Source organism: Homo sapiens, chromosome 15 (assembly GCF_000001405.40).
Source record: "Homo sapiens chromosome 15, GRCh38.p14 Primary Assembly".
Lineage (NCBI taxonomy): Eukaryota > Metazoa > Chordata > Mammalia > Primates > Hominidae > Homo > Homo sapiens.
Window position 1 is genome coordinate 84,552,883 of NC_000015.10, and position 13,765 is coordinate 84,566,647.

Below are 13,765 nucleotides of genomic sequence, written 5' to 3' on the forward strand. Positions count from 1 at the left end.
GCCTTAAGAACACTGGCAGCTCCACTTCTGTGCTTCTAGTAGCCAAAATAAGTACCAACTATCCTCTTGGAGAAAGAGAAACCACTTGAAGAGGCCTGAAAGGATGAGATGCTATGCAGAGAGGAAGGCCACATGAAGAAACACCAAGGCAGCAGACCTGTGGGTGAAGTAGCCGTCTCAGACATTCCACTGCAGCTGAGAATCCAAATGACCAGTCCCTGACACCATCTAACCACACAGTGAGAGATGCCAAATGAGACCAGCAGAAAAACTGTCCAGCTATCCCCAGTTAACTGATACAGTAGTGACAGATAGGCAAATGTGTAGTTTTATGCCATTAAGTTTTGGGAAAATTGGTTAAGCAACAATAAATAACCAAAACAAAACTTAAAGTTAAGACTGTCCAAATAAAATTTCCTAAAAGTCAAAAAATAAGAAAAATATTCCAGAACTTAAAATTAAAAAAAATTAGAAACGACCTGAGATACAAGACTCAAACAAGAGGACTAAAATCCAATTAACAGACACTTCAAAATGAACAAATAAAATGGAAAGGAGAAAGTTAACAAAAATATGACAAGATTCAAGATTCCAACATTGAAAGAGCCTATCCATAGGCCTATCGATTCAGTGTGCCCAGCACAGTGAATGAAAAAAGACACACACTAAGTACAATGTTGTGCTATTTCAGCTCACCAAGGGAAAGACAAACTCCTAAAAGCTTCCAGAGAGAAAGTCATGCATAAATGAGTGAAACTCAGGGTGACATGAGGCTTCACCACCATGACTGGTTAGAAGACAACAGCACAGACTTTGAAATTCTAAGGTAAAATTATCCTCAACCTAGAAGTACATAATCAACCAAACTATCAATCAAGTGTGAGGGTAGACTATGACAAAAGTGAATAGTGATGGAGATGGGCTAAGTACCAGGCACTGTTCTAAATGGTTTACATGTACCAACTCATTTAATCCTCATAGCTCCCTAGAAACATAGGTACTAATACTATTACCGGTTCCCCCATTTTGCAAATGGAAATTGATGCATAGAGCAATTATGGAATCAGCCCAAGGGCATACAGCTAAGAAGTAATAGAACCAAGATTCAAACCTATCTCAGACTGGCTCCAAAACCCAAACACTGCATTGTATTTTTTCAGAAGCCAGAGATCAGAAAATATACCACTCCATGCTTTCTTAGGGTTTTACTTGAGGACATAGTCAGGTAAAATGACAAAGGGAAAGCCAAGAAAGATGACATGGGATCCAGGAAACAATGGATGTACTCTAGGAGAGCAGATGAGAAAAACCTCAAGATGACATGTGCACAGCCAACCCGAAGAACAACCTGCCAAAATGGGCACACAGGAGCCAAAGGCTTTGGAAGAGAAGGAGATCTCACAGAAAGGGCTACAACAGAATTTTTTAAATTAAAAATTACTGTTATGAGAAGACATTGCAAAACAAAAAGCAGCACCAAGAAAAGAAATATTCTATCCTAAATATTCTAGAAAATTTGGCTTCTCGAAGTCCTAATGATAATTAGTGATTACTTATATCACTAAAGATAATATCTGAGGAAGGCAAAGTGGGTGGTATAAGAGCTAAATTCTCATGTATTATACTAAAAAGTCAATAGCTGATGCCTAAATAGGTAAATCCAGGAAGAAGTTAGGGGTAGTGGTGAGCTAGTGGAGATTTCTGTTGCTTGTAGGAGATAATATTTGGGTGAGTCCTTAAGAAGCATAGACAGATTTAAGGAGATGGCATTTCTAGGTGAAGGCAAGTCAATAAGCAAAGACAAACAATGAAAGAAGCAAGAACATTTATGGACCCCAGGAATATTCACAACAAAAAGCTGGTGTTAGGGAAAAGGGCAATTGTTTGCCTGCCATACTAAATACCAGCAGTTCCAAAGAATGAAAATGTTATTTTTAGTATCTAAAACAGAACAAACAATTCAATAGGAACAGAAAAACTAACTTCTAAATAAGTTGAATAATTTTTAAAAAATCATCCTAGTTTGACTTTTGTTTGAGACAATTTATTTTAGCTCTTGAACACTACAGAATTTTTACTTTACCTGACCCATGGGTAGTGGTTGATCTGGCATCTCAACATTCGGGTGCTTAGGAAGGTTATATAATCTGCAGAGTCCACATATCAGCCACTTCCATTGCTGATGAAGCTACAAAACACATTTCAGTAAATAAGCATTATGTTAAAGAGCACTGAGAAGACATCAATAATGGTATGACTACTGCAATCAATCCAGTAGGAAATAAAAAAGTTTGTTACTGCTCAACTGCAGCTTACAGATATTTTAAAAAACTCTTTGAAATATTTTCAGGAGCCTCTAGTTTAAGAAAGTTACTATGGCTTGGTGTATAATCACTACAACTGATACCTAATGGAATGACAACAATAAAGGCAGAGGAAGGAAGTTCCAGACATTGTCCAATTTCTCATTGCTACCTTGTTTTCTTAGAAACTTACAACTTCAAACAAGAGAACATTACTGCATTAATGAGGTGACCCAAAAAGGAAAAAGAAAAAAAACCACACACAGGCAGTATTGTTACACATGGATTATAAAATTATATATTCCAGTCATAGTTAAAAGTACAAAAGCAAATGTGATCCAGCAGACAGAGCCTGGAAATCTAGATGACCTTGGATATCATATCTAATTCCTTGAGTTTCAGTGTACTCATCTGTAAAACAAGGAAATGAAAACTTCCCCGGAATAGTAAAGATTAAATGAAACCTGTAAAACACTTGATACTTAGTAGGCTCTTAAGTGTCTGTCTAAAAAATAATCATTCACTAGGAAACTGCAAAAAATAACTGTAAGTTTCCATGTTTAAGTCCAAATTGTATTGTAAGATTGTTTACTTTAAGGAAATAAGCAAGGTAAACTATGTGCACAAGTGTGGTTTTCATTGTTTAAAATGTTTTTTAATGTATAAGGTGACTCATATGGGATCTAATAAGCACTCACTTCACTTGGTCAGGAACAATTTTCTGGGTGTCTCTGACCAAGAAAAGAGATGAAGAGAAAGAAGCAGGTTTACAAATGACAAAGTAAGAAGACACAGGATTAGAATGGGTTAACAAAGCAAAGAATAAGCCTTCCCAAAGTGAACAATGAAGCAAGTGGAAACAGGAAGGTTGAACCGTAAATTAGGATACACCAAAAATCCTCATGCTTAAAAGGAAGCCAAGCCCCAGTGTGGATTCATTATGCACGCAATGTGCTCTGTTTTGTGCTAAGTATATAATGAAGATGAGGCAGGGTGATCTGGACACAGACCTGCACACTCTGACCTCTGGCACAGAAGGGGCTACAGGAGTGCTGGGGTGAAACAGGAATTAAAAGAAATTAAAGAATGTGAAACTACCATCAGAGTGAACAGGCAACCTACAGAATGGGAGAAAATTTTTGCAATCTTCCCCTCTGACAAAGGACTAATATCCAGAATCTACAAAGAACTTAAACAAATTTACAAGAAAAAAATCAAACAACCCCATCAACAGAGACTTCTCAAAAGAAAACATTTATGCAGCCAACAGACACATGAAAAAACACCCATCATCATTGGCCATCAGAGCAATGCAAATCAAAACCACAATGAGATACCATCTCACACCAGTTAGAATGGCAACCATTAAAAAGTCAGGAAACAACAGGCGCTGGAGAGGATGTGGAGAAATAGGAACACTTTTACACTGTTGGTGGAACTGTAAACTAGTTCAACCATTGTGGAAGACAGTGTGGCAATTCCTCAAGGATCTAGAACTAGAAATACCATTTGACCCAGCCATCCCATTACTGGGTATATACCCAAAGGATTATAAATCATGCTGCTATAAAGACACATGCACACATATGTTTAGTGCGGCACTATTCACAATAGCAAAGACTTGGAACCAACCCAAATGTCCATCAATGATAGACTGGATTAAGAAAATGTGGCACATACACACCATGGAATACTATGCAGCCATAAAAAAGGATGAGTTCATGTCCTTTGTAGGGACATGGATGAAGCTGGAAACCATCATTCTCAGCAAACTATCGCAAGGACAGAAAACCAAACACCACATGTTCTCACTCATAGGTGGGAATTGAACAATGAAAACACTTGGACACAGGATGGGGAACATCACGCACTGGGGCCTGTTGTGGGGTGGGGGGAGGGGAGAGGTATACCTAATGTAAATGATGAGTTAATGGGTACAGCATACCAACATGGCACATGTATACATATGTAAAAAACCTCCACATTATGCACATGTATCCCAGAACTTAAAGTATAAAAATAATAATAAAAAAGAATGTGTAAGCAAACACTGTTTGTTAAAAAAAAAAAAACCGAATTCCCCCTAAGAAAGAAAAAGAGGTGGAGTCCTTTAAAAATTAACTGCCTGTTTTTCTGAGGCTAGTGAACCTCATCTCTCCTCCTCTCCCAGGCATTGTGAAGACCCTGTTTCTCTAGCTGTGCAGCTGCAAGGTCACTAGACAGATAAACTCAAGTTGTAAAACATGTTTTTCCTTGAAAAGTAAGAAATAATGTAATGCATGTCTCAACTGAATAACTGTCTTTGTTTCTTGCTTCTGTAATATGCTTCCCCTTGCACAGATCTCCCCCGAACCCACAAAATGCTTAAAAGGTAACCTGACTCTTTGTTCAGGGCTCAGTCCTTTAGATGTTAATTTGACTGGGCCGGTGCACCTAAATAATAATATATATCCTCCTCAACCCCTCAGTCTCTCGGATTCCTAAATTATCCCACTGCAGTGGGAGAGAGGCAGCAGGTTAGTGAGTCATACCAAGCAACAAGAAAGACAGGGTAGTGGCCAGGCACAGTGGCTCACACCTGTAATCCCAGCAATTTGGGAGGCCGAGGTGGGTGGATGACCTGAGGTCAGGAGTTTGAGACCAGCCTGGCCAACATGATGAAACCTCATCTCTACTAAAAATACAAAAATTAGCTGGGCATGGTGGCAGATGCCTGTAATCCCAGCTACTCAGGAGGTTGAGGCACGAGAATCACTTGAACCCAGGAGGTGGAGGTTGCAGTGAGCCAAGATTGTGCCATTGTACTCCAGCCTGGGTGACCAGAGCGAGGCGAGACTTCATTGCAAGAAAAGAAAGAAAGAAGAGAGAGAGAGAGAGAGAGAGAAAGAGAGAAAGAAAGAAAGAAAGACAGGGTAGTACATTTTCCATGAATTTCAATTTTACTCTCTTCGCCACCACGCACACACACAAAAAGCATTTGAGGGATGGGAAGAAGAAACTGAGATCACAGGGAAAATAGTAAGAACATTCAGAAGGACAGGTCTTAGAAATTTACTAGTTTGGGGGGATAAGAGAACAGTAGCATATAAAAGAACGCTAAGACAGTTCCCAGGTTTAGGCATGGGTGACTACTTTGATTATTTCATTTTGTCCCACTCACAATGACAAGGAGAATTATTGATGGAACACATGATGGGGCTGATAGGGTGCTAGGAGGTGGATACATGAAAATTTAAATATCATCTTGAACACCCACGTCATGCCAAGTGAGATTCCCTAACATATATGATATACAGACAGAAATATGGGTATGAAACTCTGGAGATGAATACAGATTTAGGAATCCCTGGAACACAGGTCATGACTTAAGTAATGGGAGTCAAAGACTACTCAGAGAAAGCACAGAATGAGAAGAGAAGAAAGAAGTAGGCCAAGGAAGAAGAGCTCGGAGGAGACCAAGGCAGGGTGATAAGATCAAAACAGGAGAAAATAATCTGATAAAAGTCCCAGTTGATTATCACGTCCCTTCCCAGAGGATAGGGAAATACCTTTTTTGTCTTTTATACCCAATTATCACAGGTCCTGGCACAGAAGCCACACAGTCTTTTTTAATTGTGTTCTACTATTCACAGTTCCCTGTATCCAACAGGGGAGAAAAAAGCAAGTATAAACTAGCACAGACATAGATGTTTTTACACTGTATACTAAAGGGGTCAGATTATATATAATATTTTATGCCTTACTTTTTTACTTAATATATCTTAGAAGTTTGCACATGCTCTTATGGAAAGACTGGCTGCATTTTTTTTGGTCTACAACAGAATATTCTATTATAAAACTGTACACTATAATTTTTATTTAACCAACTCTTTATTGGTGGACATTAAGAACGGAGGAATGTTTCAACAAGGGAACAATCAACATTAACAAAATACTGCAGAGGGGTCAATTTGGGGACTAAGAGGGGAGCCACTGGATTTGGCAACTAGGAGATAAATTTTAGCGCAACGATGAAGGCAGAATCCAGAGTATAATGAGCTCAGTGAAAAAAGGTGAAGACATGTAGCTTATTCTCTCAAGAAACTAGGTTATGATAAACTGGCAGAGGCTCTAAGAGTGGGAGGTGAGTTGTTTTCTCCTTCATGTAAATACATTTACTTTTTTAAACACTAGGCCCAAATTTATATCCTACTTCATTTAAGTTTTGAACATGTTTATGTTGTATGTATGTTATGTAATATTTTAGACACTGAAAAAAACCTCATTTCTGCTATTATAAAACTGTTATCTTTAGATATTCAGAAGCAGCTTCCTAAAAGGAGGTAGCAGTAATGGAGCTATGTCTATCATTCTTTCTATCAACCCCCTTGCTGGAGATGTAAACATGTGTCCATCAAGCCTTTAATTTTTACCTCTTATCTTCATGGCTCTCCATACAAAACTTAACTCTATTTTGTATGTGTATGTGTGTTTATATGTATATCTATGTCTAGAAAGAGAGAGAGAGAGAGTCTTGTTATGTTGCCCAGGCTGATCTCAAACTCCTGAGCTCAAGCAATCTTCTCACCTTGGCCTTGAAAGTGCTGGGATTACAGGTGTGAACCACTGTGCCCAGCCTCAGCCTTAACTCTTAAAACATCTTCAAACCAATGTTGTTCCGTTCTAATTTTTAAGAATAGATGTGTTTTAACCTACTACAACTTATTTTGACAAAAATTGAAGTTAAGACTCAAACTTCCTCAAATGGCCAGTTCTCCTAAAACTATTTATAGAATAATCTATCTTTTCACTAGTAAGTTAAAACACCACCTTTTCCTTATACTAAATTCTCATTTGCATGACTCTGGTTTTAAACTTCCATTACCTTTATCTGTCTGGCCCAGGGCTAGTCCACAATATTTTATTTAATATCTGGTTGAAAGAGTTTATACTTTATTATTTTTTATTATTTACTCTTCTAAACAAATTTTAGAGTCATTTTGTCAAGTGCCAAAAATAAATCTGCTGGAATTTCTACTGAAATTTGTATATATACACATACATACACAATTTATATATATAAAATACAAAATGTGTATATATACACACACTTTTTTTTCTTTTTTCTTTTTTTTTGAGACAGGGTCTCACTCTGTCACCTAGGCTGGAGTTCACAGGCATGATCTCGGCTCACTGCAACCTCTGCCTCCCAGGCTCAAGTGATCCTCCCTCCTCAGCCTAATGAGTAGTTGGAACTACAAGTGTGTGCCACAGACACCCAGCTAATTGTCATCTACCCGCCTCAGCTTCCCAAACTGTTTGGATTACAGGTATGAGCCACTGTGCCCAGCAGAAATTACATTTATAAATTAATATGAAGACATGGTGATAACTAACATATTTATAACATGAAATCTGCTCATCCAGGAACATAGAATGCAAATCTTTCATTCCACTCAGCAAAATTTTGTCCTGTCCTTGATAAAAGCCCTGCACATCTAAGTTTATTCCTAGGTATTTAATTTTTGCTGAAATACCTGAAAAAATACTTCATCACTATATCTTCTATGTGATTATAGCTAACATTGGGGAAGGCTATTGATTTTTATATAAAAGAACTTTTAACCAGTAATCTTAAAATTTTTTTTTCAGTTGGTTCCTTTGGATATTTTTAGGTAAACAATCATGTCAACTGAAAATAATGATTGTTATTTTTCTATAAAGACTATGACATCCTGGGAAAATACAGTAAATACTTTTTAAAAGAATATAAAATGGCTGGGCACAGTGGCTCATGCCTGTAATCCCAGCATTTTGGGAGGCCAAGGTGGGCAGATCACGAGGTCAGGAGATCGAGACCATCCTGGCTAACATGGTGAAACCCCATCTCTACTAAAAAATACAAAAAATTAGCCGGGCATGGTGGTGGGCACCTGTAGTCCCAGCTACTGGGGAGGCTGAGGCAGGAGAATGGTGGGAACCCAGGAGGTAGAGCTTGCAGTGAGCTGAGATCATGCCACTGCACTCCAGCCTGGGTGACAGAGTGAGACTCTGTCACAAAAAAAAAAGAAAAAGAATATAAAACTATAGAGAATATGACCTCAACTATTTAAACATATGTATAAGGGTTATGTATTTTACTAGCAAAGAAAAAATATATACTGGCAGAAAATGGCCATCATGTCAACTGTCAATAGTGGTTATATTAGGTAGATAAATTATGGGAGACTTTAATTTTTTTCTTTTCTCTTTTCTGTACTTTACTAATTTTCTCAACAATGGTTGCTTATGAGTTTTATAATTTAAAAAAGGTTTTTAAAATTTTTCCAACATGGAAAGTTGTACTTCTTTATATACTAAAACAAGAACAAAACTTCCTATTTGAATACCTTTGACTTTTACTGCAGACTTACAGACCCTTGAAAGAAAAGGCAATCCCCTCCCACTAGTTCTGGTGTCATTCTCCCCTTCTCTCCTTTCACTTCCACCTTGGTCTTTTTTCTACTTCCCACCTTGGCTAGTGGTCACTACCCAAAATGCTTGCTTGGCTTAATGGTTAGAATTCAGGGAAAAAGAGATCCTGAATTCCTAATCTAAACTAAGGTTATACATGTGGGAAATAATAAAGAGAATCCAGGTAGTAAGTAAGATTGGAAGGACTTAAAATACCCAGACTTTAATTCCTCTAATATTATAGTCATTAATCATGCTTTTGTTTTTATCATATCTTAATATTTAATTTCTAAATATAATGTTCATGAGGAAAAGAGAAAATAGCTTGGCTTCTTTCCTCACTGAATTGTTTTTCTTAGCATCTTCTAGACATTCCAGAACTGATGTCAGATTTGGCTCATCATAGTCCACAAACCATATTGGTAAAGAAAATGAAGAGGATTCCTGTTTAACACAGAGACACCTATGTTAAACATTACATACAGACTAACCCAAATATGCAATTAAACCACACCACTAAATGGCAAGATGACCATGGATTTAAACAAAATGTATGGGGGAAAAGGCAACACATTAAATTCATGTGAGGAGCTGGACTTCTGAAACAGCCATTCTCCTTGCATAGCACTGTCTGCTGCTACAGCTCATAGAAGTCAACAATTTTCTTCAACACTGGTAGGCAGCCTCTAAATGGCCCTGATCACCCTCACCTCCTGCCATTCACACCCTTGTAAAATTCCACCCCTGGACCTAGTGACTCACTTCTAACAAAGAGAATACAGCAAAAGTAATAACATCACTTCTGAGATGAGGCTACAAGGAGACTACGATGCCTGCTTTGGTCACCCTTCTCCTGCTCTTTCCATTGCTCCCTCTGATGGAAGCCAGTTGCCATGTGATGAGGTGCCCTATGGAGAGGCCCACATGGCAAGGTATTGTAAAAGGCCTCTGACCAATAGCCATCTAGAAACGGAGGCCCAGTCCAGCAGCCTCTGAGGTGAATCCTGCCAGTGTGAGCTTGGAGACAGATTCTCTCCCTATCCTGCCTTGGGATGATCACAGCCGCCATCAACACCTTCACTGCCTGGTGAGAGACCAAGCCAGTGAACCCAAGATAAACTGCACAGAATTCTGACCCACAGAAACTGTGAGATAATGTTTGTTGTTTTAAGCTGCTAAATTTGTTACAGAGCAATAGATAACTAATTCAAACAGCATAAAATTCTAATATTTTATTCTATCACACAAACCAAGTAATACCAAAAATGCCATTACTATACATGTATTTTCAGAACACAATTACATGTGATTTTTTTTAAAAGCTAATGAAGTAAGCATTATGTGCTTTCACCCACTAATAGACATTTACTCTGTTCTAGGATTTTCCATTATAAATTGGGGAAAAGTCATTATTATTATATATTAGCTTCAGAAGAACTAGGTTCAAGTCATGCAAAACCATTTCGCACAAACTACTTTAGGAAATATTGCTTTAAAAACTGTAATCTGAATGATAGCTGAAGCCACAGAAACCAAATATTTACCAAAGGTTCTTTTAAGAAAACCAAGTTGGCCGGGTGCGGTGGCTCACACCTGTAATCCCGGCACTTTGGGAGGCCGAGGTGGGCAGATCACGAGGTCAGGAGATCGAGACATCCCAGCCAACATGGTGAAACCCCGTCTCTACTCAAATAATAACAATTAGCCAGGTGTGGTGGCATGTGCCAGTAGTTCCAACTACTCAGGAGGCTGAGGCAGGGTAAGAGCTTGAACCCAGGTTTCAGTGAGCTGAGAAGCGCCACTGCACTCCAGCCTGGTGACAGAGCAAGACTCCATCTCAAAAAAAAAAAAAAAAAAAGAAAGAAAGAAAAGAAAAACAAGTTGTATTGAAGGAGCATATCATTAACAGTATATCTATTCAATAATGATTTTACTATTCTCATTCTTCTCATTCCTCTCTTATAGTGTCCCAAATCTCTTTACAGTCTAAAAGAAACTCTTCAGAGTTAATCCTATTCTTTTTTTTTTTTTTTTTTGAAACGGAGTCTTGCTCTGTCACCCAGAGGCTGGATGCAGTAGTGCGATCTCAGCTCACTGCAAGCTCCGCCTCCCGGGTTCACGCCATTCTCCTGCATCAGCCTCTGGAGTAGATGGGACTTTAGGCACCCACCACCATGCCTGGCTAAGTTTTTGTATTTTTAGTAGAGATGAGGTTTCACCATGTTAGCCAGGGTGGTCTCGATCTCCTGATCTCGTGATCCGCCCACCTCGGCCTCCCAAAGTGCTGGGATTACAGGTGTGAGCCTCCATGCCTGTGACAATCCTATTCTTAAAGAATACCACTTACTGACTATTGCATTTTCATCTCCAAATTCTTCAGCATACATTGGGAATACAACATATGGACCATTTTCACATTTTTAGTTTTGGGGGTTTTTGTTTGTTTGTTTGTTTGTTTTGGCTAAAGAAACTGCAACTAGATTTAGGACCTCATTCTATTAGGTTAGTATCTGTCTACTAAACTTCAGCATAAGCAAAATAAAATACATGTTGTTGCTCTGGAGTGAAACCCCTCAAAACCAAATTTTAAAAATTACAAAAACATTAACTGAAATCAAGTTTTTAAAAATCTTGTAGATGAAAAGATATGATATATAGTAGGTTTAAGTACCTATTTCAATGGTTCACAAAGTCTGGCCCTCAGACCCCCAGGTCCAAACTATTTTGACAGGAATACTAACATGGTGACATTTGCTGTAAGGGTGCAGATACAATGGTGGGTAAAAATGCTGGTACTTTAGCATAAATAAAGGCAGTAACACCAAACTACTAGTAGTCATGGTATGACTACTGTGCACGGGAAAGGTTTAAAGGTGTAAAAAGGAAGGGAGGGCCGGGCATGGTGTCTCATGCCTGTAATCCCAGCACTTTGGAAGGCCAAGGTGGGCAGATCACCTGAGGTCAAGAGTTTGAGAGCAGCCTGGCCAACACGGTGAAATCCCGTCTCTACTAAAAATATAAAACTTAGCCGGACATGGTGGTTGCATGCTTGTAGTCCCAGCTACTTGGCAGGCTGAGGCAGGAGGATTGATTGAGCCCAGAAAGTTGAGGCTACAGTGAGCTGTGATCATGCTACTGCACTCCAGCCTGGGTGACAGAACAAGGCCCTGTCTCAAAAATAAAAAGAATGTCTATGATGAAGCAGTGAAAATTTTACATCTTAATCCTTGAATATATCTTTTTAATATTTCAAGTGATGAAATGGGAAGTATACATGAGCATTCCTACAGACTGCCTGAGAAAAAACCCTCATGTGACTAAGTTATGAAGTGAATTAACCACTTTAATGGAATATCATTTTTACTTCAAATGATGACTGAAAAAATTTTATTTCAGCTTGGGTTTTGGGAGACATTTTCTCAAAAAAAAGGAGATTCTGTTATTTCAAGGAAAACAACAGACAGGCCATAATAAAATTCAACAATAAAATTGCTAATACTAAAACTCAAGCTTTTGAACAAAAAAATTAGAATTTTAGAAAACTTATATCCACCATCACTTTCCAGAAGTATTCTGATGAGATTGATGGTGATATTGATGAGTGTATTTTGATATCATATAATCAAACATATCAATATATAGAAGATCTCAGTGAACCATTATTTTTGAACTGAACAATGCATGATGTTATAATATCATGCAAGGGTAAAAGATCCAAAGTTCAAGAAAAATCAAGTTTTGATGGAGTATCAAAAAAGAAGCCAAGGCAACATGGCAAAACCCTGTCTCTACAAAAAATACAAACAATGAGCTAGGTGGGGTAGTATACACCTGTAGTCCCAGCTACTCTGGAGGCTGAGGTGGGAGGAGCACCTGAGTCCCCAGATACTGAGGGTCCAGTGAGCCGTGATCATAGCACTGCATTCCAGCCTGGGAGACAGAGAAAGACCCCATCTCAAAAAAAAGAAAAAGAAAAAGAAGTATCCACAATGATCTAAAATGCCTATCTGTATGAGATTAGCCTTTGTTCACATTTTCTCAAGCAAATATCACTCAATAAATTGAATGCAGGTACAAATGACATATCAAACATCAAAGAAATTTGCAAAAGATGTAAGATTGTACTACTTTGAGTTTAGAAATTTTCTTTTCATAAAAGCATTTATAACAATATTTGGTGAGCTTTTAAAGAATATTTTAAGTATTTCTGATTTAATTTCTAGTGATAAATACCAATAGATATAACCTACATACACAAAAGCTCCTTGGGCCCTCAATATACTTTTAAGAGTGTAAAAGAATCCTGACCCCAAAACTTTGAGAACTGCTGCCTTCCCCTCCACTTTCTTCCTTCCCTAGAATTTCTTCCTTGGAAGAAACATTCCTTTACCATTCTATGTTAACTTACATAGTTCCATTGAGGCCAGTTTTGCTAACTCTCTCCCGTCTTTCCACATCCCTCTCTTGACACAAAACCTAACCAAAGGACTCTACTGGCCCACCCCATTTCCAGTGATTAGCTGTCAGGTGGGCTAAGCCAAGAAAACCTGGGTTTTCACTGAGACTAGACCTCTCCTTTTGGGAGAGATGGAATCACAGGGACAAGGTTGGCCACCTAGGGGTAGTCAGAATCCATCTTGCCTAAATGGGAAGAGGTTAGGCAAGTTTCTAGAAAGCCAAAATGCTTTCTAGAAAGTCAAGATAATTATACTTTCTGCCACGACTGTGAGAATGCCCATTTCATTGCATACTTTCTAACATTTTTACCAATCTGATAAATAAAAGCTGGTACCTAGAAGAAAAAAAGGCTGGGTGTGGTGGCTCATGCCAATAATCCCAGTACTTTGGGAGGCCAAGGTGAGTGGATCAGCTGAGGTCAGGAGTTCGAGACAAGCCTGGCCAACATAATGAAACCCCATCTCTAGTAAAAACACAAAAATTAGCCAGGCATGGTGGCAGGCACCTGTAATCCCAACTACTCAGGAGGCTGAGGCAAGAGAATCACTTGAACCTGGGAGGTGGAGGTTGTA

The 13,765-nt window shown here is 38.5% G+C and overlaps 1 pseudogene across 1 annotated transcript in view; it reads right to left on the reverse strand.

Annotated features, from left to right (window-relative positions):
• Positions 1-13,765, reverse strand: part of UBE2Q2P1 (UBE2Q2 pseudogene 1) — a 43,600-nt pseudogene that overhangs the window by 25,687 nt on the left and 4,148 nt on the right. Inside the window, exon 2 of the transcript NR_003661.2 lies at positions 2,084-2,188. The product of NR_003661.2 is annotated as a UBE2Q2 pseudogene 1 (transcript). The remainder of the gene's footprint in view (positions 1-2,083; positions 2,189-13,765) is intronic.